Raw genomic sequence first — 22,975 nt, forward strand, 5'->3', positions numbered from 1 at the left:
TCATTGTCTGCCGCGGACCTGCCCCCGTCCCGCCCCTTCTGCCTTAAACATTGCGTTTGCTTTTATATGTTAATAATTATCAACCTGGCAGCTCTGACTCAGAGGCAGTGTCTTTTAATCGAGTGAACTAACTGCAGCCTTTCCGTACTCCTACTCCATTACTCAAAATAGAAAATGCCCAAAAGAACAAAGGAAACTTTTTCACAGACACACAATGTATTCCCTGTCCCAATTTTTCTAAAAGGAAAAAAGAAGGTGGGGGTAAACTACGTGTGTAGAAATGTGTGTGCACACTGGTGTGCGTTGGCACGTGTGCGCGACTAGATTTGAATCTGTCTGCTCCACCAGAGACACACATTCAAAGCCGAAGGCAGCAGCAAAAAGGTCAACATGCTTGCCTCTTTATTCCCAACACCAAAAATAACCCCCTGACCGAAAGAACTCTTCAATTACAAATACCAGGGGCATTCGAGGCTGTGGCCCGCACTAAGTCCCAGAGCGCGGTATCAAACGAAACCGAAAATCCGTCTGCTTTGCCGAGAGCTAGGGAAGCCACAACCAAACAAAGAGATCCCGGCACGCTGTCAGAGAGCGCGCGAGGAGCCCACGGAGCCGGCTGGGCGCACGCGGGCCGGCGGGGAGGTGTGCTATTGACTGAGCGCACCCCGCTAGCGTGGGCCTGGGGAGCGTGTGCGCGTGCGCGGCCACACACACACACACACACACACACACACACACACACACACACCGGCGTACTGGAACCTCTCTCGCGATCCCGCACCCAGCTTGAATTCAGCAAGAATCGAAAACAGGTGTGCCCCCGTGGTAAGACCCCGCCCCTAATCTTGGGGACCCCCACTCCACTCCTCCAGCCTGGGGCAAGGACGGGGGGCGGAATATGCACCAGGTGGGAGACAGCCGAGCTTCACTACACTGGGTTTCATTTTGCAGCGCGCCTTTGTGATGCTGCTGAGAAAAGAAAGGAGGAAGGGCAAGGGAGAAAGGCAGAGAGGCTGGGCGGCCAAGGGTGGCCGCTCCGGCATCTCCCTCGGCTGTGCTGGGCCAAACCCGCTCCCAGATTCCCGGCCTGCCAGCCACTCACAATCCCGGGCTTCCCCGCCGCTGCCTTACCCAGGCGCCTTCCCGGGGAACCCCACCAGCCGCTGCGTGAGGAGCCGGGGAATCCCAGCAAACTCTCGCCGCTCGCGGGGGGCGTCCGAACCCCCTGCTTAGGCGAGCGCCCTCACAGCATCGCAGACTCGGATGGACACGCGGATCCCGGCAGGGAGCTCTTGGAGCAGGCGTGGAATCCCAGGGACACCCCCTGCGCGCACATCACATACACGCACATCCTACACACACACACACACACACACACACACACACACACACACACACAGAGCCCGTGGGAAGACAAGACCGCCGGCGACAGCCCGCCGCGCTGCCCGGGCGCTCAAGCCGCCGCTACTCACTAGCGAGTCTGTCAGTCTGTCTGCCTGGCTGAGTAGAGCGGCGGGAGGGGGGCACTGAGCTACGGGAATAGTTGGGAGCCGCGTGAGGAGGCAGCCTCCGTCCAGCCGAAGAGAAATCAGTGAATGAGACTGTGACTCAGGCTGAACTCTTCCCCCCACCCCTCGCCTGTCACCCAAGCCTCTCCTCCGCTCCAAACAGACACACGCGCACAGAGACGCGCCCGGAGAGGAGCAGCCGAGGGCGCAGGCGCGAGGGCAGCCACCCAGCCCAGCCCTCCCACAGCCAGCCACCCCGCTGCCCTTCACCTGCGTGGCTGCGGGGGCCCAAGAGCGCTGAAGCCCCGAGGGAGCCGGTCTCTAGAAAAGTCAGCGGCTGAAGCTGACAGCCCACTCTGAATAAATAAATCATTTCTGATCGTTTATTCCGTGCCTTGGGCACACACCATGTCTCATTCACCATAGTAGATTCTGGGACCAAAGATAAACAAGACAAGATACTTGGTCGGAGGAAACCTCTGGCTTGTGGGGGAAATACTCATGTAAATGGCTTAAAACAACGTGGTACATCTATGCAGCCTGCTACTGGAGTAGCCAATATCCATTAGCCTTCATTTCCACGCAGCAGGAAGAACAGAGGCACGGGGGCATGGTGCTGCCAGTCAATAGGTAGATAAGCTTCCTAGAAGATTGCAGGGATGGGGCAGAGGACCAGACTGCAAGAGTGGCTGAGTAGAAAGGGGCACTACGGGTTTCCTAAGTTGTGTACTGTCAATAATGTGGGGGCAATGACGTTCTGACTTCCTCACCAGAGAGCTGGCTCTGGCAGTGACAGGTAGACAGATGTGAGGCCACACTGCGGGCACAGAAGTGAGTTGGGAGGCAGTCTGAAAGCAAAATGTGATGAGGCATTGGCAGGGGGCATGGAGAGGAGGGAACTGGGCAGCTGATGCAATCTGCAAGAGAAGAAAACCAGCCGAGGTAGGATGACTCCCAAGTTTCTAGCACCAAGTTGGGTGACTACGTGCCTGACAGCCAATAAAAGCACAGGTGGAGAAACATGCTTTAGGAGAAAGATTGTTCTCATCTACATGTGTTGAGTTTGAAATGTTTGGGGGACATCCCAGTGTACGTGTCCCATAAGCCACTGGACACACAGGAGGTTTGGACTAGGAATATTGATCAGTAGTCATCAGCCCAAAGGTGGCATGAGAAAGGATGGAATGAATAGGGAAGATCATCCAAATTGTGAAGAATCTAGGAGGACAGCGTACAGCCAAAGGAAGGAGACTGGAAGCAAGGGTCAGAGAGGTGTGGGACGCATCAGAAAAGCCAAAAGAGCAGACGACTGTAAGAAGGGAAGGGTCAGATGTGTACAGGCTGCAGGGAAGACAAACAGGATGATAACTGAAAAAAAAAAAAAAAAAGAGTATCTGAGGGCACTTGTGACCATTGACAGAGCAGGATAGTGCTCTAATGGAGGAAAGGAGGTTGCTCACAAGTACCAGTGACCATGCTGGCCATTGCTGCCAGGTCGAAGCCCCTCCACTGGCCCTTGGCCTTGCCCAATGAAAGCATTGTCTCCATTTTACAGATGTGATAAGTGTAGAGAGGTTAAGTAACTTTATATAGGCACACAGCTGCTCTGTAGACAATATGAACCAATGTGCTCCAAAAGACTATGTTCTTACTTAACCTCTTAACCCTGACTCTCTACCCTCTCTCCTGCCATTGAATAACATCCTGACTCGTCAATGCACCTTGATTCTTTTGATTATCTCCCTTTAGTCCAACAACCGTCGTATCTACAGCGATCCTTAGAGAACAATTAAGGCCAGTTGACAGTAAAGAACAATCAGTGTGTATTTGAAGTCCATGCTGAGAGAGCATCAATCTTCTGGCAGCTGCAAGACTGACCTATCAACCGAGGCATTTCTTCATTCCCTGCCATTGTCTCCTCCTCTTGAGATCGCCATCAGGCACAGTCACTTTTCTACAAACAGGCAATAGGACTCCCGCTGCCACCCTGCCCAGATTTTAGTCCTCTACTGCTGATAAAGTGAGCAAAGATACGTGGCACTTCCTGAACCCAAATACTCTTCTGAGCTGATTCTAAATCCACACAGAATCAACCTACCTCCTATTACCTCCTTCCAAGCTCTGTGTCCCATTCTCTCATTTCAGTCTCAGCTCCAGACATCAGTGAATTCAATGTGATACATCAGGGGACATCACAGGACTTCCCTACTTGAAAATCAAGCAATCGTGTCCCTGAAACACTCTGTCTTTATTCATGCTCAGTTACCGTAAAGTAGATGCAACTCTAAGAACCTATGGATTTTTTTATTGCCACTAATAGATCATGATTTACAGCAAAATTTTAAAAGGTCCAATTTTACTCACATAAGAAGAAGAAAACATTCAGCAAGAAGCATTTCTTTTGCTTTATCTTTCCCAGTTAAATATGACTTTAAAAAAGACAAAATTTTAAAAGGTCCAATTTTACTCACAAAAGAAGAAGAAAACATTCAGCAAGAAGCATTTCTTTTGCTTTATCTTTCCCAGTTAAATATGACTTTAAAAAAGACAAAATTTTAAAAGGTCCAATTTTACTCACATAGGAAACAAGAAGAAAACATTCAGCAAGAAGCATTTCTTTTGCTTTATCTTTCCCAGTTAAATATGACTTTGAAAAAGAAGAGCACACCTCATTAGCCGTAATTGTCTGATTAATACAAAGAAATGGACTCATATCACGGGGTTCTACTACCCCTATGGTAGTGTTTACTATCCTTATTTCACTCAATAATTACAGTTACTTTAACCAGAATGCCTGCCTTGTTTGGCATTTTGGGAGAGGAAGCATATGACTGTAAACCCTCTTCAAACTTTCAGACTTACGTTTGCTTCTTCTAAGTCCATCGACTTTATACATAAATGACTTCTTTTTAAAAATAAATAAATAAATAAATAAATAAATGATTTCTTTCCTGATCTTCATATAACAAGTATGTAGCCTTTGCAATTTCCAGGGCAGTCTACAGGTTTAAAATCTGGCCGTCCTGGAGAATGGGCAGAAGAAAGCTGAAGGGAGCCTTTTCCCACAGCCCTTCCCTTCCTTCTTAAAGAAGGTTCACTTCAGAGGTCTCCCAGATACAACAAGAACTGAGTTTTTGGTTCAGAATATTTTGTGGGTGCAAAACATAATACATAGTTGCCAGTAACATAATTGAATTAGGTGTTGGTTGTTTAAGAGGAGACACATTGTATCTTTAAGGTAGCCCCTTAATAGAACTTGGCATGTATATCCTTCCTTAGAAGTGAATTTCAGGTTGGGTAAAACCTGAGAAGGAACAGATCTGGCCCTGGGGTACAATGAATGCAGGCAATCACTCCAGCCCTGGTGGCTTGAGGGCCCTGCAAGTGCTAAAGGAGTATAGTGACCAACTGTGTCCAAAGAGACTTAGCACTGCAAGTCCCACACCCCCAAGAAACCACAGTTCCATGAACACCTGGAGGCTTGGCTCCCTATAAAGAAACTGCCACCTCCCTTAATATAATTAAGCCAGATTAGCTGGGTACTGTGGCTCACACCTGTAACCCCAGCACTTTAAGAGGCTGAGATGGGAGGATCCCTTGAGAACACATTTCCACTAAAAAAAAATTTTTTTTAAATAGCCAGGCATGGTGGCATATGCCTGTGGTCTCAGCAACTCAGGAGGCTGAGGCAAAAGGATCACTTAAGCCCAGGAGGTAGAGGCTGCAGTAGGCTGTGATTGCGCGACTGCACTCCAGCCTGGGCAACAGAGCAAGACCCTGTCTCAAAAAATAAACAAACAAACAAAAACCAACAACAACAAAAAATAATTAAGCCAGGCCAGGTGCAGTGGCTCATGCCTGTAATCCCAACACTTTGGGAGGCCGAGGTGGGTGGATCACCTGCGGTCGGGAGTTCAAGGCCAGCCTGACCAACATGGAAAAACCCCATCTCTACTAAAAATACAAAATTAGCTGGGTGTGGTGGCACATGCCTGTAACCCCAGCTACTTGGGAGGCTGAGGCAAGAGAATCACTTGAACTGGGGAGGCGGAGGTTGCAGTGAGCCGAGATCGCACCATTGCACTCCAGCCTGGGTAACAAGAGTGAAACTCCATCTCAACAATAATAATAATAATAATAAAGCCAGATACTCCAAGGCTAGTAATGGAGGGAAACTTCCCTGTGAAGAGGAGACAGTTGTCTTAAAAAAAAAATCATGTTCCCTTGAAAGATGTTTCATAATTACCACCACTGCCACCTTGGCCTGGAAAAGAAAGTGGTCGGATGGGAAGGGGAAGGAAGCAGGTTAGAAGAGGCAGTCCTCCATGGGCTGTGAGCATCTCTACATGTTTCTCTTGGGTGCACCTAGAATGCAAAGCCCTAACCACTTCTGAATGCAGAGAAACTCAAACTGCATTGTCCTCTGCTCTCATACCGCAACAATCAACACAAAAGACTTCTGTGACCAGATGTTGGTGGGCAGTCTACACCAACAAGCAATCAGTTCTGCAGAAGACACCAGCTGGGCATCCTCCAATTCAACTCCGTTCTGACACTATCTACCTCAAGATAGCATCACATCCCAGAGGTTGAGGGCTCAGTCCCACAAAACTGCCTCCTCTCTCCCCTAGACCCAGAGTCAAGTCTGGGCCTCCAGAACATCTGACCAACTAGCTTCAATTTGGGATTCCCACAACCCCTCTTTGGGTTTGATTAATTTGCTGGACAGGCTCACAGAACTCAGGGAAACGCTTACATATACCAGTTTAATACAAAGGATATCAGAAAGAACACAGATGAAGAAGTGCACAGGGGAGGTATGCGGGGAGGTGCACAGAACTTCCATACTCGCTCTAGGTGCGCCACCCCTCAGAAACCTCCACATGTTCAGCTGTCCCAGAAGCTCTCTGAACCCTGTCCTCCTGGGCCTTTTTTGGAGACTTCCTTGGATAGACATGACTGAAGACAAACATGTCAGACGGTGATTGGACAAAAAGCAGAGGCTCTAATACTGATAGACTGAGTGGGGGAAACCCAGCAAGCCCTGTCTGACCATATTCTCCTTGGCCTCTCTGTGCTGCATTTGCACCTTCAGGGTATGGGGCAGGACTGCCTCTGGGATGAGGGTCTTATGACCTCCGATCAGAAAGACTACCTTGGAGCCGGGTGCGGTGGCTCATGCCTGTAATCCCAGCACTTTGAGAGGCCGAGGCGGGTGGATCAACTGAGAACGGGAGTTCAAGACCAGCCTGACCAACATGGAGAAACCCCATCTCTACTAAAAATGCAAAATTAGCCAGGTGTGGTGGCACACGCCTGTAATCCCAGCTACTCGGGAGGCTGAGGCAGGAGAATCGCTTGAGCCCGGGAAGCAGAGGTTGCGGTAAGCCAGGATCATGCCACTGCACTCCAGCCTGGGCAACAAGAGTGAAACTCTGTCAAAAAAAAAAAAAGGAAAGAAAGAAAGAAAGAAAGAAAGAAGGAAGGGAAGGGAAGGAAAGGGAAGGGAAGGGAAAGGATGGGAAGGAGGAAGGAAGGAAGGAAGGAAGGAAGGAAGGAAGGAAGGAAGGAAGGAAGGAAGGAAGGAAGGAAGGAAGGAAAGAAAGAAAGAAAGACTGTCCTGGGCAGAAGAAGAGAGGACAGAGGAGGGTCAAAAAGAAATTGTGTTTCCTGAGGCCTGCTTCTGAGGCCTACAGTGCCCCAACATCAGAACAGATGACTGTTATAAGTCAGGAGCCATGGGTGAAAACCTATATGTGTATATGGATGTGTGTGCATGTATGTGTAGTAATGTCACACCACTCTTTACCCAGGCCGTTTCTCAGAGTTGTGTTTGCAGCCAGCAACCTGGAGGGATGAGGTAATATTTTCCCCTGGGCAAAGAGCAGCCTTGCTGCTTCTGCTTATTGAAAAGTAATGTATCCTCTAAGCTCAGTGCTTCTCTCCCATGATGCAACCCATCATGTGCACAGGCATCTATAGTGAGCTCTTTGCATCACCCTGTGGGACTTGTGGGGCATGGGGAACTGGCACAAGCATCATTCTCACCCTCTGGCTGCTGCCTTTGCCATAAGTGATAATATCCTTTGTCTCTGACCCTGGAGTCTTTTCTCCCCAGTATCCATGAAACCCTAACAGGATAACTTGTCATCTTGGAAGAAGGTGAAAATCCTAGACCCTACACAATTCTTGACCAGCACTGCCTAATTTGATGCTGCCACTGAGACATTAGCTTCACTTATACTCTACGGTGCAGCTGATCTAAGGTCTGAACTTTTAAACAGGTCTTTCCTCAAGGCTAAAGGCTAATAAAGGAAAATAAATTCATGTGATAAAACAAAAGTAACTGTGTTAGATGTGGTTGATTGGCAGTCAGTGTGCACTCCCTACTTTTCTGTTCTTTCTTAAATGGCAGAGTTTGGGCCGGGCGCGGTGGCTCACGCCTGTAATCCCAGCACTTTGGGAGGCCGAGGCGGGCGGATCACGAGGTCAGGAGATCGAGACCATCCTGGCTAAAACGGTGAAACCCCGTCTCTACTAAAAATACAAAAAATTAGCCGGGCGTAGTGGCGGGCGCCTGTAGTCCCAGCTACTTGGGAGGCTGAGGCAGGAGAATGGCGTGAACCCGGGAGGCGGAGCTTGCAGTGAGCCGAGATCCCGCCACTGCACTCCAGCCTGGGCGACAGAGCGAGACTCCGTCTCAAAAAAAAAAAAAAAAAAAAAAAAAATGGCAGAGTTTGGAAAAGCTATAAAACTACCTTTTCCAGATTCCCTCTGTATCAGGTTCTAGATAAGAATTGATGTACTCTGGCACGTTTGGGAAGGTAGGGTGAGGCACAGGCCATATCCTTTGTGGCTGTCTATGCCAGCAAGCAGTTCATGGAGACATGATATTTTTCTGCTTTGGTATTCTTTTGTCCAAATTCCAGCTTCTAGATGTTGAGAGGCAGCTGCAGTATTGGCTGCTTTCTGATTTCTGGTTTCAGCCACTACACGATGCCCTGAAGTCAAGAGACCAGTGAATGCCTTTGACTCCTCATCCTGCAGATTGTAGCAGAAGTACCAGCTTTCCTGGCAGGATGGATCTGCAGTGTTATAGCATCACTCCTGGTGACCCACCCTAGAGACCATGTATCCAGATCTTCTGGATATTCTGTAAGCCCCTAACCTCCTATAGTGAATCCCTTTCTGCCTAAAAATGCAAAGTGGTTGCTCTATCCTGTCCCTGGACAAGTATCAAAATACTAGGTCATCAACTAGAAAATTACAGCTTATCAGTCACACTCTGGGGTCCCTCTGCCTTGCTGTTAGCTTGCCTCTCTGTAGACGAAGTCCCTTTTAGGATCTACTCAAGGACAACCCTGAATTGTAGCCTTCTCAAAAAATCTAGATCCAGAGAGCAAAGCCCAGAGAAAGCTGGAATTTCTCTCTCCATCCTACTTTCTGGGTTTCCATTGCCTATCTGAGGACATGCTTCTTTCCTAGATCCATAGAAAGATCTATGTTTCAGGGGAACCTAAAGGTAGTGGTCTTATCCCAGAGCATAGAAGTATAATTAACACAAGATGATACAAAACAACACAATCACTGCAATGACACACTGCTGAAGCCCCTCTACGAAGCAGGTGGGATGGCACCAGGTTATCATTTCCTTACATTATGGAAAAGAACAGATACTCTAACAATTCTAAATGTATCACTTTAGACCTGTTGTTATCCTTCCTGACTTCCCCACCCCTCTTCAGAAGGCCTGCTTCATTTGTAGGACAGACGGAATAGAATGATGACAAAGAAAGATCCCAGCTAAGTACAGTGGCTGAAGCCTGTAATCCAAACTACTCTGGAGGCTGAGGCAGAAAGATTGCTTGAAGCTAGGAGTTCAAGACCAACCTGGGCAACATAGCAAGACTCCTATCTCTTAAAAAATACATTAATTTAAAAAAAATTGTAAAGGACTTCATAGCAAACCAACATGATTAAATCTTTGTGGTGAGTGTGTGGGTGTCACTATACCAACTTTAATTACAAGAAAGACATCATCAATTTTAAGATGCACCATTATTTCATGGACCACTAAGAAGGAAAAAATGCTGCCAATTAAATGGCACACACCTTAATGATTAAACAGAGAAAAGAGGACTTCGTTGCCAAACCACATAAATCTAGTCCTGACTCTGTCACTTACGGCAGTATGGATTTGGGCAATTCCCTAAAGCTCTTTTTACTCAGTTTCCAAGTTGGGGTTAAACACAATACCTATTTCAAAGCATCAAATGGGATAACACATGCAACATATGCTTCAAACATACACGCAGACCAGTGCCTGGACCAAGGTAGGTGCTTAAATGTTAGCCATAGTTATACTTATGCCATGCTATCTTTTGCATTCATCTTAATAATATTTTTTCTCAGGGGCGGTTCGAAGATGGCCGAATAGGAACAGCTCCAGTCTGCAGCTCCCAGCTTGAGCGACACAGAAGACGGGTGATTCCTGCATTTCCAACTGAGGTACTGGGTTCATCTCACTGGGGCTTGTCAGACAGTGGGGGCAGGACAATGGGTGCAGCCCACCGAGGGTGAGCCAAAGCAGGGCAAGGCATCACCTCACCCGGGAAGTGCAAGGGGTCAGGGAATTCCCTTTCCCAGCCAAGGGAAGCAGTGACGGAAAGCACCAGGAAAATCAGGTCACTCCCACCCTAATATGCGCTTTTCCAATGGTCTTAGCAAATGGCACATCAGGAGATTATATCCCACGCCTGGCTCCCAGGGTCCCACGCCCATGGAGCCTCGCTCATTGCTAGCACACCAGTCTGAGATCAAACTGCAAGGCGGCAGCGAGGCTGGGGGAGGGGCGCTTGCCATTGCTGAGGCTTCAGTAGGTAAACAAAGCGGCCCAGAAGCTGGAACTGGGTGGAGCCCACAGCAGCTCAAGGAGGCCTGCCTGCCTTTGTAGACTCCACCTCTGGGGGCAGGGCATAGCCAAACAAAAGGCAGCAGAAACCTCTGCAGACTTAAATGTCCCTGTCTGACAGCTTTGAAGTGAGTAGTGGCTCTCCCAGCACGGAGTTTGAGATCTGAGAATGGACAGACTGCCTCCTCAAGTGGGTCCCTGACCCCCGAGTAGCCTAACTGGGAGGCACCCTCCAGTAGGGGCAGACTGACACCTCACACAGCCGGGTACACCTCTGAGACAAAGCTTCCAGAGGAACGATCAGGCAGCAACATTTGCTGTTCAGCAATATTCACTGTTCTCCAGCCTCCTCTGCTGATACCCAGGCAAACAGGGTTTGGAGTGAACCTCCAGCAAACTCCAACAGACCTGCAGCTAACTGTCCTGACTGTTAGAAGGAAAACTAACAAACAGAAAGGACATCCACACCAAAACGCCATCTGTACGTCACCATCATCAAAGACCAAAGGTAGATAGAACCACAAAGATGGGGAAAAAACAGAGCAGAAAAGCTGAAAATTCTAAAACTCGGAGCACCTCTCCCCCTCCAAAGGAATGCAGCTCCTCACCAGCAATGGAACAAAGCTGGATGGAGAATGAGTTTGACGAGTTGAGAGAAGAAGGCTTCAGATGATCAAACTTCTCCAAGCTAAAGGAGGAATTTCGAACCCATCGCAAAGAAGCTAAAAACCTTGAGAAAAGATTAGACAAATGGCTAACTAGAATAACCAGTGTAGAGAAGTCCTTAAATGACCTGATGGAGCTGAAAACGATGGCACAAGAACTACATGATGAATGCACAAGCTTCAATAGCTGATTCCATCAACTGGAAGAAAGGGTATCAGTGATTGAAGATCAAATTAATGAAATGAAGTGAGAAGTTTAGAGTAAAAAGAAATGAACAAAGCCTCCAAGAAACATGGGACTATGTGAAAAGACCAAATCTACATCTGATTGGTGTACCTGAAAGTGACGGGGAGAATGGAACCAACTTGGAAAACACTCTGCAGGATATTACCCATGAGAACTTCTCCAACCTAGCAAGGCAGGCCAATATTCAAATTCAGGAAATACAGAGAATGCCACAAAGATACTCTTCGAGAAGAGCAACTCCAAGACACATAATTGTAAGATTCACCAAAGTTGAAATGAAGGGGAAAATGTTAAGGGCAGCCAGAAAGAAAGGTTGGGTTACCCACAAAGGGAAGCCCATCAGACTAACAGCAGATTGCTCGGCAGAAACTCTACAAGCCAGAAGAGAGTGGAAGCTAATATTCAACATTCTTAAAGAAAAGAATTTTTGACGCAGAATTTCAAATCCAGGCAAACTAAGCTTCACAAGTGAAGGAGAAATACAATCCTTTACAGACAAGCAAATGCTGAGAGATTTTGTCACCACCAGGCCTGCCCTAAAAGAGCTCCTGAAGGAAGCACTAAACATGGAAAGAAACAACTGGTAACAGCCACTGCAAAAACATGCCAAATTCTAAAGACCATCGATGGCTAGGAAGAAACTGCATCAACTAACAAGCAAAATAACCGGCTAACATCATAATGACAGGATCAATTTCACACATAACAATATTAACCTTAAATGTAAATGGACTAAATGCTCCAATTAAAAGACACAGACTGGCAAATTAGATAAAGAGTCAAGACCCATCAGCGTGCTGTATTCAGGAGACCCATCTCACATGCAGAGACACACATAGGCTCAAAATAAAGAGATGGAGGAAGATCTACCAAGCAAAAGGAAAACAAAGAAAAGGAGGGGTTACAATCCTATGCTCTGATAAAACAGACTTTAAACCAACAAAGATCAAAAGAGACAAAGAAGGCCATTACATAATGGTAAAGGAATCAATTCAACAAGAAGAGCTAACTATCCTAAACATATATGCACCCAATACAGGAGCACCCAGATTCATAAAGCAAGCCCTTAGAGACCTACAAAGAGACTTAGACTCCCACACAATAATAATGGGAGACTTTAAAACCCCACTGTCAACATTAGACAGATAAACGAGACAGAAAGTTAACAAGGATATCCAGGAATTGGACTCAGCTCTGCACCAAGCAGACCTAATAGACATCTACAGAACTCTCCACCCCAAATCAACAGAATATACATTATTCTCAGCACCACATTGCACTTATTCCAAAATTGACCACACAGTTGGAAGTAAAGCACTCCTCAGCAAATGTAAAAGAACAGAAATCACAACAAACTGTCCCTCAGACCATAGTGCAATCAAACTAGAACTCAGGATTAAGAAACTCACTCAAAACTGCTCAACTACATGGAAACTGAACAACCTGCTCCTGAATGACTACTGGGTAAATAATGAAATGAAGGCAGAAATAAACATGTTCTTTGAAACCAATGAGAACAAAGACACAACATATCAGAATCTCTGGGACACATTTAAAGCAGTGTGTACAGGGAAATTTATAGCACTAAATGCTCACAAGAGAAAGCAGTAAAGACCTAAACTTGACACCCTAACATCACAGTTAAAAGAACTAGAGAAGCAAGAGCAAACACATTCAAAAGCTAGCAGAAGGCAACAAATAACTAAGATCAGAGCAGAACTGAAGAAGATAGAGACACAAAAAACCCTTCAAAAAATCAATGAATCCAGAAGCTGGTTTTTTGAAAAGATCAACAATATTGATAGACTGCTAGCAAGACTAATAAAGAAGAAAAGGGAGAAGAATCAAATAGATGCAATAAAAAATGATAAAGGGGATATCACCACCAATCCCACAGAAATGCAAACTACCATCAGAGAATATTATAAACACCTCTATGCCAATAAACTAGAAAATCTAGAAGAAATGGATAAATTCCTGGACACATACACCCTCCCAAGACTAAACCAAGAAGAAGTTGAATCCCTGAATAGACCAATAACAGGCTCTGAAATTGAGGCAATAATTAATAGCCTACCAACCAAAAAAAAGTCCAGGACCAGATGGATTCACAGCCGAATTCTACCAGAGGTACAAGGAGGAGCTGGTACCATTCCTTCTGAAACTCTTCCAATCAATAGAAAAAGAGGGAATCCTCCCTAACTCATTTTATGAGACCAGCATCATCCTGATACCAAAGCCGGGCAGAGACACAACCAAAAAAGAGAATTTTACACCAATATCCTTGATAAACATTGATGCAAAAATCCTCAATAAAATACTGCCAAACTGAATCCAGCAGCACATCAAAAAGCTTATCCACCGTGATCAAGTGGGCTTCATCGCTGGGATGCAAGGCTGGTTTAACATACGCAAATCAATAAACGTAATCCAGCATATAAACAGAACCAAAGACAAAAACCACATGATTATCTCAATAGATGCAGAAAAGGCTTTTGACAAAATTCAACACCCTTCATGCTAAAAACCGTCAATAAATTAGGTGTTGATGGGATGTATCTCAAAATAATAAGAGCTATTTATGACAGACCCACAGCCAATATAACACTGAATGGACAAAAACTGGAAGCATTCCCTTTGAAAACTGGCACAAGACAGGGATGCCCTCTCTCACCACTCCTATTCAAAATAGTGTTGGAAGTTCTGGCCAGGGCAATCAGGCAAGAGAAAGAAATAGAGGGAGTTCAATCAGGAAAAGAGGAAGTCAAATTGTCCCTGTTTGCAGATGACATGATTGTATATTTAGAAAACCCCATCATCTCAGCCCAAAATCTCCTTAAGCTGATAAGCAACTTCAGCAAAGTCTCAGGATACAAACTCAATGTGCAAAAATCACAAGCATTCTTATACACCAATAACAGACAGAGAGCCAAATCATGAGTGAACTCCCATTTACTATTGCTTTAAAGAGAATAAAATACCTAGGAATCAAACTTACAAGGGATGTGAAGGACCTCTTCAAGGAGAACTACAAACCACTGCTCTACAAAATAAAAGAGGACACAAACAAATGGAAGAACATTCCATGCTCATGGGTAGGAAGAACCAATATCCTGAAAAAGGCCATACTGCCCAACGTAATTTATAGATTCAATGCCATCCCCATCAAGCTACCAATGACTTTCTTCACAGAATTGGAAAAAACTACTTTAAAGTTCATATGGAACCAAAAAAGGGCCTGCATTGCCAAGACAATCCTAAGCCAAAAGAACAAAGCTGGAGGCATCACGCTACCTGACTTCAAACTATACTACAAGGCTACAGTAACCAAAACAGCATGGTACTGGTACCAAAACAGATATATAGATCTTGGAACAGAACAGAGCCCTCAGAAATAATACCACACATCTACAACCACTGATCTTTGACAAACTGGACAAAAACAAGCAATGGGGAAAGGATTCCCTATTTAATAAATGGTGCTGGGAAAACTGGCTAGCCATATGCAGAAAGCTGAAACTGGATCCCTTCCTTACATCTTCTACAAAAATTAAGTCACGATGGATTAAAGACTTATATGTTAGACTTAAAACCATAAAAACCCTAGAAGAAAACCTAGGCAATACCATTCAGGACATAGGCATGGGCAAGGACTTCATGTCTAAAACACCAAAAGCAATGGCAACAAAAGCCAAAATTGACAAACAGGATCTAAATAAACTAAAGAGCTTCTGCACAGCAAAAGAAACTACCATCAGAGTGAACAGGCAACCTACAGAATGGGAGAAAATTTTTGCAATCTACTCATCTTACAAAGGGCTAATATCCAGAATCTACAATGAACTCAAACAGACACACAAGGAAAAAACAAACAACCCCATCAAAAAGTGGGTGAAGGATATGAACAGACACTTCTCAAAAGAAGACATTTATGCAGCCAACAGACACATGAAAAAATGCTCATCATCTCTGGCCATCAGAGAAATGCAAATCAAAACCACAATGAGATACCATCTCACACCAGTTAGAATAGCAATCATTAAAAAGTCAGGAAACAACAGGTGCTGGAGAGGATGTGGAGAAATAGGAATGCTTTTACACTGCTGGTGGGACTATAAACTAGTTCAACCATTGTGGAAGTCGGTGTGGCCATTCCTCAGGGATCTAGAACTAGAAATACCATTTGACCCAGCCATCCCATTACTGGGTATATACCCAAAGGATTATAAATCATGCTGCTATAAAGACACATGCACACATATGTTTATTGCGGCCCTATTCACAATAACAAAGACTTGGAACCAACCCAAATGTCCATCAATGATAGACTGGATTAAGAAAATGTAGCACATATACACCATGGAATACCAGGCAGCCATAAAAAAGGATGAGTTCATGTCCTTTATAGGGACATGGATGAAGCTGGAAAACATCATTCTCAGCAAGCTATCGCAAGGATAAAAAACCAAACACCTCATGTTCTCACCCATAGGTGGGAATTAAACAATGAGAACACTTGGACACAGGAAGGGGAACATCACACACTGGGGCCTGTCATGGGGTGGGGGGAGGGGGGAGTGATAGCATTAGGAGATATACCTATGTAAATGACGAGTTAATGGGTCAGCACACCAACATAGCACATGTATACACATGTAACAAACCTGCACATTGTGCACATGTACCCTAGAACTTAAAGTATAATAAAAAATATATATATAGGCAAAGAATAAGATAGAAAAAAAAATAATAGTATTATTTGTTCTCTCTGCTTGTTAGAGGGCAGGGGAACCTGTATCTTTTGTTTCATGGGGGTCACACACTTCTCCAGGATTAGCTCCAGACTAGAAAATTATTGCCAGGCCAATAAAACATCCTATCTTTGGGGGTCCAATATTTGGTTGATTTTGTTTGTTCACCTTTCAATCACCAGAATCCCCTTCTTATCAATAATTCCACCACCGCTCAAGAATTCACAAAATTAAAACAAAAATGATCTCTCTCATTTACCATATTAGCACTACATATTTCACAAACATGATTTCATCTTCACTATCAGGGAGGTATTACCAAACCCTTTAATAGAGGAGGGAGCTGAGAATCAGAGATGATCACCAACGTGCCCAAATTCACACAGCATAGAAAGTGTGGAGAGAGAGTCAAATGCAGACCAGCTGTACTCCAGAATCTACACCCCAGAATCTACACTCCTAGCCATCTTGCTCAATTTTCTCCAAAAAATGCTGTGATCCTTTTAGGAGCTTGTGTATTGATTAAGATAAAACATTTCTCTGTAGTGCAATATTTAAGTACGATGAAGCAATCCAAATGCAAATAATACATGCTGTAGTTTTGAATAAAGACACAAAATAAGCTACCCCATATAACCAAAATCTCTAATGACTAGGATTTGGCTTATTACAGGACTGCCGAAGCTGAGAGTAACTACCCCTGGTTTCATTTCCAACTCATGAATTTTTCGCCATCCTTCTCTGCCCGCCTTTCCTTTACTACACAGTGAGCCGCACTCCTGGAACAAGCTTCCCTTGAAGTTCACCCTCTGAGCGCCACGGCCCCTCTCCAGCCTGCATTCCACTGTAAGGTTGAGAAATATCTGATTGTTAGTGATGAGAGAGAAAACCTAGCCTCATTCTCTGGTGGCCTGTCTTGCAAAAGAGAGATGAAATCAAACCTGGCTTCCTGAGATTCCAAATCACAAACATCACATACTAGTTTTTTTTTTTAATAAAATCATGGGGCCAGATGTGGTAGCTCACACCTGTAATACCAGCACTTTGGGAGGCTGAGGCAGAACAATCACTTGAGGCCAGGAGTTCAAGACCAGCCTGGAAAACAAAGGGAAACGCACTTCTACAAAAAATTTAAAAATTAGTCACATGTGGTAGCATGAACTTGTAGTTCCAGCTACTTGGGAGGCTGGGGCAGGAGGATCGCTTGAGCCCAGGAGCTGGAGGCTACAATGAGCCAGGATTGCACTACTGCACTCCAGCCTGGGTGACAGAGGGAGACCTTGTCTAAATAAATATCATAGAAAGGTGGGGAACTCACTCAGAGTGTCCCACATTGTCTTTTTCTTTCTTTTTTTCAAAATTAAGAGACAGGGACAGCAAGGCGCGGTGACTCACTCCTGTGATCCCAACACTTTGGGAGGCCGAGGTGGGTGGATCACCTGAGCTCAGGAGTTCAAGAACAGCCTGGCCAACATGGTGAGACCCTGTCTCTACTAAAAACACAAAAATTAGCCAGGCATGGTGGCACACACCTGTAATCCCAGCTACTCAGGAGGCTGAGGCAGGAGAATCGCTCGAACCCCGGAGGCAGAGATTGCAGTGAGCCAAGATTGTGCCACTGCGTTCCACCCTGGGAAACAAAGCAAGATTCCATCTCCAAAAAAAGAAAAAGAGAGAGAGAGAGAGAGCTAGGGTCTTACTATATTGCCCAGGGTGGAATGCAGTGTCTACTCAGAGGCCCAGTCCCACTACTGATTCTGCTCATATCTGACCTAAGCCAGTTCGCCCCTCCTTAAACAACGTGGTGGACCCCACTCCAGGAGGTCACCATATTGATGCCAAACTTAGTTCAGACACCCAATTGCTACAGCACACTACAGCTCAGAACTCCTGGGCTCAAGCAATTGTTTTGCCTCAGCCTCTCAAGTAGCTGAGACCACAGGTGTGCACTATTGAGCCTCACTTCCCTTAGCATATCTTTTTGAACAGCCTTTTCTTTATATTGAGATACCTGAAAAGGGCTCTTTACAAAATCCACTCGAATTCCCTTCTCTCCTCTCTGCTGTCCTTTATTATTGATGACATTTTTGATAATTATCTGATTATAGAAAAACTCCAAAAAGCCAGGAAGAAGTGCTGATTTTTGTTTTGTTTTGAGATGGAATCTCACTCTGTCACTCAGGCTGGAGTGCGGTGGTGCAATCTTGGCTCACTGCAACCTTCGCCTCCCAGGTTCAAGTGATTCTCCCTGCCTCAGCCTCCCAAGTAGCTGGGAATACAGGTGTCTGGCACCACACCCAGCTAATTTTTGTATTTTTAGTATAGCTGGGTTTTCACCATGTTGGCCAGACTGGTCTCGAACTCCTGACCTCAGGTGATCCACCCGCCTTGGCCTCCCAAAGTGCTGGGATTACAGGTGTGAGCCACTGCGCCCATCCAAAGTGCTGTATTATTTCACTCATCACTGCTATTGGTTTCAGCATATGCATACACAGGTGCCTGTATTTTTGGCCTGACATCTATGCTCCATTCTCTTTGGATTTCAGGGATACATGACAATTGTTCTAGTTCTTTTGCTGTAACTGATGAATACAAAATAACCCCGTAGTAGAATGTACCACCTGGAACATCAAGAAAGTGATTTTACAGGATTTAGCATTCCATTTGGGGGCTGCAGAACCTGTCATCAGATAATGGGATTTGAATGATAAATGAACTGTCTCATGTCAATCCCTTTGTGAAAATTAGAGCTTTTAAAGTCTAGGTTTAGCTTGCTTAAACTGAGAAATGGCCAGGCAAATAGTCATGTCAGTAGAAATATAACATCTAAAAGTCAAGATCTTTTTCCCTTCCTTTAGTTGTCATTATTTGTGAAATTTCACACCAGAAGACAATTGTGATTTTTTTTGAACCAGAAAGATTGTGAAAATTAGCTCGTATTAGACCTGTGATGAATCTTCAACTCTAGAAAAGAAAAAGAAATGTGCTCTAAGAAGAAATAAGAGGCCGGGTGCAGTGCCTCAAGCCTGTATTCCCAACACTTTGGGAGGCCAAGGCAGGCGGATCACTTGAGGTCAGGAGTTCGAGACCAGCCTGGCCAACATGGCAAAACCCCGTCTCTACCAAAAATACAAATATTAGCTGGGTGTGGTGATGCATAACTGTAATCCCAACTACTCAGGAAGCTGAGGCAGGAGAATCGCTTGAACCTGGGAGGCAGAGGTTTCAGTGAGCCGAGATCGTGCCACTGCACTCCAGCCTGGGAGACAGAGCAAGACTCTGCCTTAAAAATAAATAAATTAAAAGAAGAGATTTATAGGTAAACAAAAACATGCATTTTCTCTCTGTACTATGTGCATTCTTCCCCAATCTTCCCTAAAGAAAATATCCCCTAGGAAGAAAGGTCTGAAACCTTGGAAATTATTTTTACTAGTCTTAGAAATATGTATAACAAATATGCAAAAACATGAACAAGCAAAGTAATCCAAGCTATTGAAAACCTAATAAGATCAGCTTACTCATATGCCTCCAAGACAGAATGCTATCAGCCCTCTGCAATTTTAAGACCAAGACTCTGACTTCTGCCAGGTGCAAAACCCATGGAGAGAAATACTCTATAGATGAAGAAAGACTTGAGTTAGACCCTGAAGAGTAAGCAGAATTTTCATATCTGTGAATAGAACCCACGGCCTCTGAGACAGAGCAACCCCTGATAAAGGAGACCAAAACAGAAGCACCCTGGGCAGGATGTCTCAGGGATGCTCAAATTGTTGGGAAAGTTGGGGCATGTGAAGGGGAAAAACAGGCAGGAAGATAGAAAAGATCGTCTCCCTTGGCTGAGAAGTTTGGACTCTAGTATGTAGGCAATAGAAACTCATCAAAGGTTTCTATGCAGAGCAGTGACAGGATAAAGCAGGACTTTATGAAAACTGATCTTTCAGGAAAAGCTGGGAGGGACTGAAATAGGATGGAAACTGCAGGTAGAAAGACCACTCTCAAAGCTATTAGAACAATGCAGGCAAAAGACTGAACCATGACCTTGGGCTCAGCTATGTAAGTCAAGACTAGGTATTGGACCACTGTTATTTTCTAATGTCAAATCAATGACTTTAGATTGGAGGGAATTTAGGAATTGTTTTGCCAAAAATTCACAAACCTGTGGCAAAATCAGACTGGTGGTAAAGTGCACGTGTGTGTGTGTGTGTGTGTGTGTGTGTGTGTGTGTATAAACATGTATACAAATATATATATAATTTTTTTAGTTTTCTGAATTAGTTACCCAAGTTTTAAAATTGGGAGATTTCAGATGAAAACCCCAGATTTCTGGATTTTTGAAATTTGGCATTGTCATATTGGGCTCAAAGCCTTCACCTGACCCTCACCCTGCATAATCCTCTTAAGCTTCATTTAGTCCCATTCCTGTCCTGCCATTCATACCCCAATCTTAAAGATGAAGACACTGAAACCCGAGGAAGGTAAGGAATTTTCCCAAAGTTTCACTGACAGTTGTTGGCAAAGTCTGCAAGGATGATGTGACATAATGCCTGTCCCATTCCTTACAGCAACTGGACATATATGATCTCTGTTCCTCATAAGCCCTTAAGAGTAGACATCATTATCCCCATTTTGTAGAAGAGGAAACGGGTTGAAAGATTAGGTAACTTCCCCAAAGCCACATAGCTGGTCAGCGGTGGAGACAATGTTCAAACCTAGATCTTTCCAGGTCTTTCTTATTACACAATTAGTGTAAGATTCTGAAACCGGACAAACCTGCTTAAAATCGAGGCTGGTCATTGACTGGCTGTGTGATGGCAGGGATGTTACTCAGCCTGTCTGAGCTTCACATTTTTGGTTTTCAGACTGAAATGAGCATGTGTCTAACAGCAATTAACACATGTTAATTATTTTACAGTCACAGTTTGCTTTTTGAGAAAAAGCACTGTTAATGGATATGATCAGATACTTTATTTGTGTTGTTGGCTCTGAAAATCTTTTTAATCCCCAAAAAATAAAATCTAACCCCAAAGACAGTGTCAACCACTGATACTATTCTAAAGATTGTGCCATAAGATCTAAACCTTTTTCCTAAAGATTCCAAAAAAATCAGAGGTAACAGTAGCAGTGTTGGCAGTAGAACTCTCACATAAGAGACAGGGATGGAGGCATATGCGCCCCATGTCTCACTCCTCCTTCTACTTTCCTTGCCAGTGTTCCTGTTTGGCAAAACCAGCAACATCTGGGCCCACACTACAAAAGGACCCAGAAAATATAGTTTATAGCTTCCTAGCCCCTTTGATACAGAAAAGCATGCAAGAAAGGTGGACCAGTCATCTGCATCTGTCACAAAATTGCCCTAAGAACCAGCTTGTCAGCCATAGAAGAAAACTGTATCTCATTATTTTATGTTCACATTTTGCTTTTTGAGAGAAAGCACTGTGAGTAGATTTGATCAGATACTTTATTTGTGTTGTTGGTTCTGAAAATCTTTTTAATCCCCAAAAAATAAAATCCAACCCCAAAGATAGTGTCAACCACTGATGGTATTCTAAAGATTGTGCCATAAGATCTGAACCTTCTTCCAAAAGATTCCAAAAAAATTGGGCTTAACAGTAGCAATATTGGAAGTAGCATTTAGCATCCTACTTTGAAAGGGACAGCGCTCATTAGGATAGAGACATTCTAAAATGTTTGCTTTTTAATCAGCCCTATTAGTCACAGACATACCTCACTGGAGTTACCCTCCAGCTTCCTCCAAGGAAGATAGCCAAACACCTGATGGTGAGCAAAGCCATTACCATCTTGACTTCCTGCCAGAATTCTTACCACCATCAACCTTTCAAAACAGGTTGATTAGTGGATCTGGCAAACAAAAGCACTGTAATTATTCAATACTTACACAGAAATCCTCCCATAAAACAAGTATGCTTCAAAAAATCATATTGTCTTAACAATGACCATGTTCCCCTTTGGTTGAATTGGCCTCTTTTGTAAGATTCTAATTACCCAAAATTAAGGGTTTTTGGGGGTTTTTGTTTGTTTTTGTTCTTTTGTTTTGTTTTACCATGCTAGGACTGGGTAACTTTATTCAAGACCTTGACAAAATGATCCCCAAAGTAATATAAATGTAGACACTTTAAAAAGTCCAGATGTGGAAGTGAGGAGCGCCTCTGCCCGGCCACCCATCATCTGGGAGGTGAGGAGCGCCTCTGCCCGGCTGCCCTGTCTGGGAAGTGAGGAGTGCCTCTGCCCGGCCACCCCATCTGGGAAGTGAGGAGCACCTCTGCCCGGCCGCCCCCATCTGGGAAGTGAGGAGCGCTTCTGCCCGGCCTCCCCGTCTGGGAAGTGAGGAGCGTCTCTGCCCAGCCGCCCATCGTCTGGGATGTGAGGAGCGCCTCTACCCGGCCGCCCCGTCTGGGAAGTGAGGAGCGTCTCTGCCCGGCCGCCCATCGTCTGGGAGGTGAGGAGTGCCTCTGCCCGGCCACCCCGTCTGGGAAGTGAGGAGCACCTCTGCCTGGCCGCTGTGCAATCTTCCAAGTGTGAAGTGACAGGCTTTCTGCAGGTGTACCCAACAGCTCCAAAGAGACAGCGACCATTGAGAAGGGGCCATGATGACGATGGTGGTTCTGTCAAAAAGAAAAGGGGGAAATGTGGGGAAAAGAAAGAGAGATCAGATTGTTACTGTGTCTGTGTAGAAAGAAGTAGACATAAGAGACTCCATTTTGTTCTGTACTAAGAAAAATTCTTCTGCCTTAGGATGCTGTTAATCTATAACCTTACCCCCAACCCCGTGCTCTCTGAAACATGTGCTGTGTCAACTCAGGGTTAAATGGATTAAGGGCAGTGCAAGATGTGCTTTGTTAAACAGATGCTTGAAGGCAGCATGCTCGTTAAGA

The 22,975-nt window shown here is 44.9% G+C and overlaps 1 protein-coding gene and 1 long non-coding RNA gene across 7 annotated transcripts in view, besides 2 other annotated features; one reads left to right on the forward strand and one right to left on the reverse strand.

Annotated features, from left to right (window-relative positions):
- The window catches only part of SLCO5A1 (solute carrier organic anion transporter family member 5A1), a 167,933-nt gene extending 166,336 nt beyond the window's left edge, over positions 1 to 1,597 (reverse strand). The window contains exon 1 of the mRNA NM_030958.3: positions 1,473 to 1,597. The gene's annotated coding sequence lies outside the window, so the exon portion shown is untranslated. The remainder of the gene's footprint in view (positions 1 to 1,472) is intronic.
- On the forward strand, positions 731 to 21,585 carry SLCO5A1-AS1 (SLCO5A1 antisense RNA 1). Of its 6 annotated transcripts, NR_186568.1 has the most exons (4): positions 731 to 812; positions 9,921 to 10,016; positions 16,756 to 16,928; positions 21,291 to 21,585. It is a non-coding gene; the product is annotated as an SLCO5A1 antisense RNA 1 (long non-coding RNA). The 6 variants fall into 6 exon arrangements; NR_186566.1 differs by lacking the exon at positions 21,291 to 21,585 and having other exon boundaries at positions 731 to 825; positions 16,756 to 17,410; NR_186567.1 differs by lacking the exon at positions 21,291 to 21,585 and having other exon boundaries at positions 731 to 825; positions 16,850 to 17,410.
- Positions 1,353 to 1,432: an enhancer, noted in NCBI's record as "active region_27501". NCBI's record gives its function as "activates an Ori minimal core promoter by ATAC-STARR-seq in GM12878 lymphoblastoid cells {active_cell/tissue: GM12878}" and the evidence as "EXISTENCE:reporter gene assay evidence [ECO:0000049][PMID:35858748]".
- Positions 1,753 to 1,862: a silencer, noted in NCBI's record as "silent region_19265". NCBI's record gives its function as "represses an Ori minimal core promoter by ATAC-STARR-seq in GM12878 lymphoblastoid cells {active_cell/tissue: GM12878}" and the evidence as "EXISTENCE:reporter gene assay evidence [ECO:0000049][PMID:35858748]".
- Positions 21,586 to 22,975: the final 1,390 nt, after the last annotated feature.

Source organism: Homo sapiens, chromosome 8 (assembly GCF_000001405.40).
Source record: "Homo sapiens chromosome 8, GRCh38.p14 Primary Assembly".
Taxonomy (NCBI): Eukaryota; Metazoa; Chordata; class Mammalia; order Primates; family Hominidae; genus Homo; species Homo sapiens.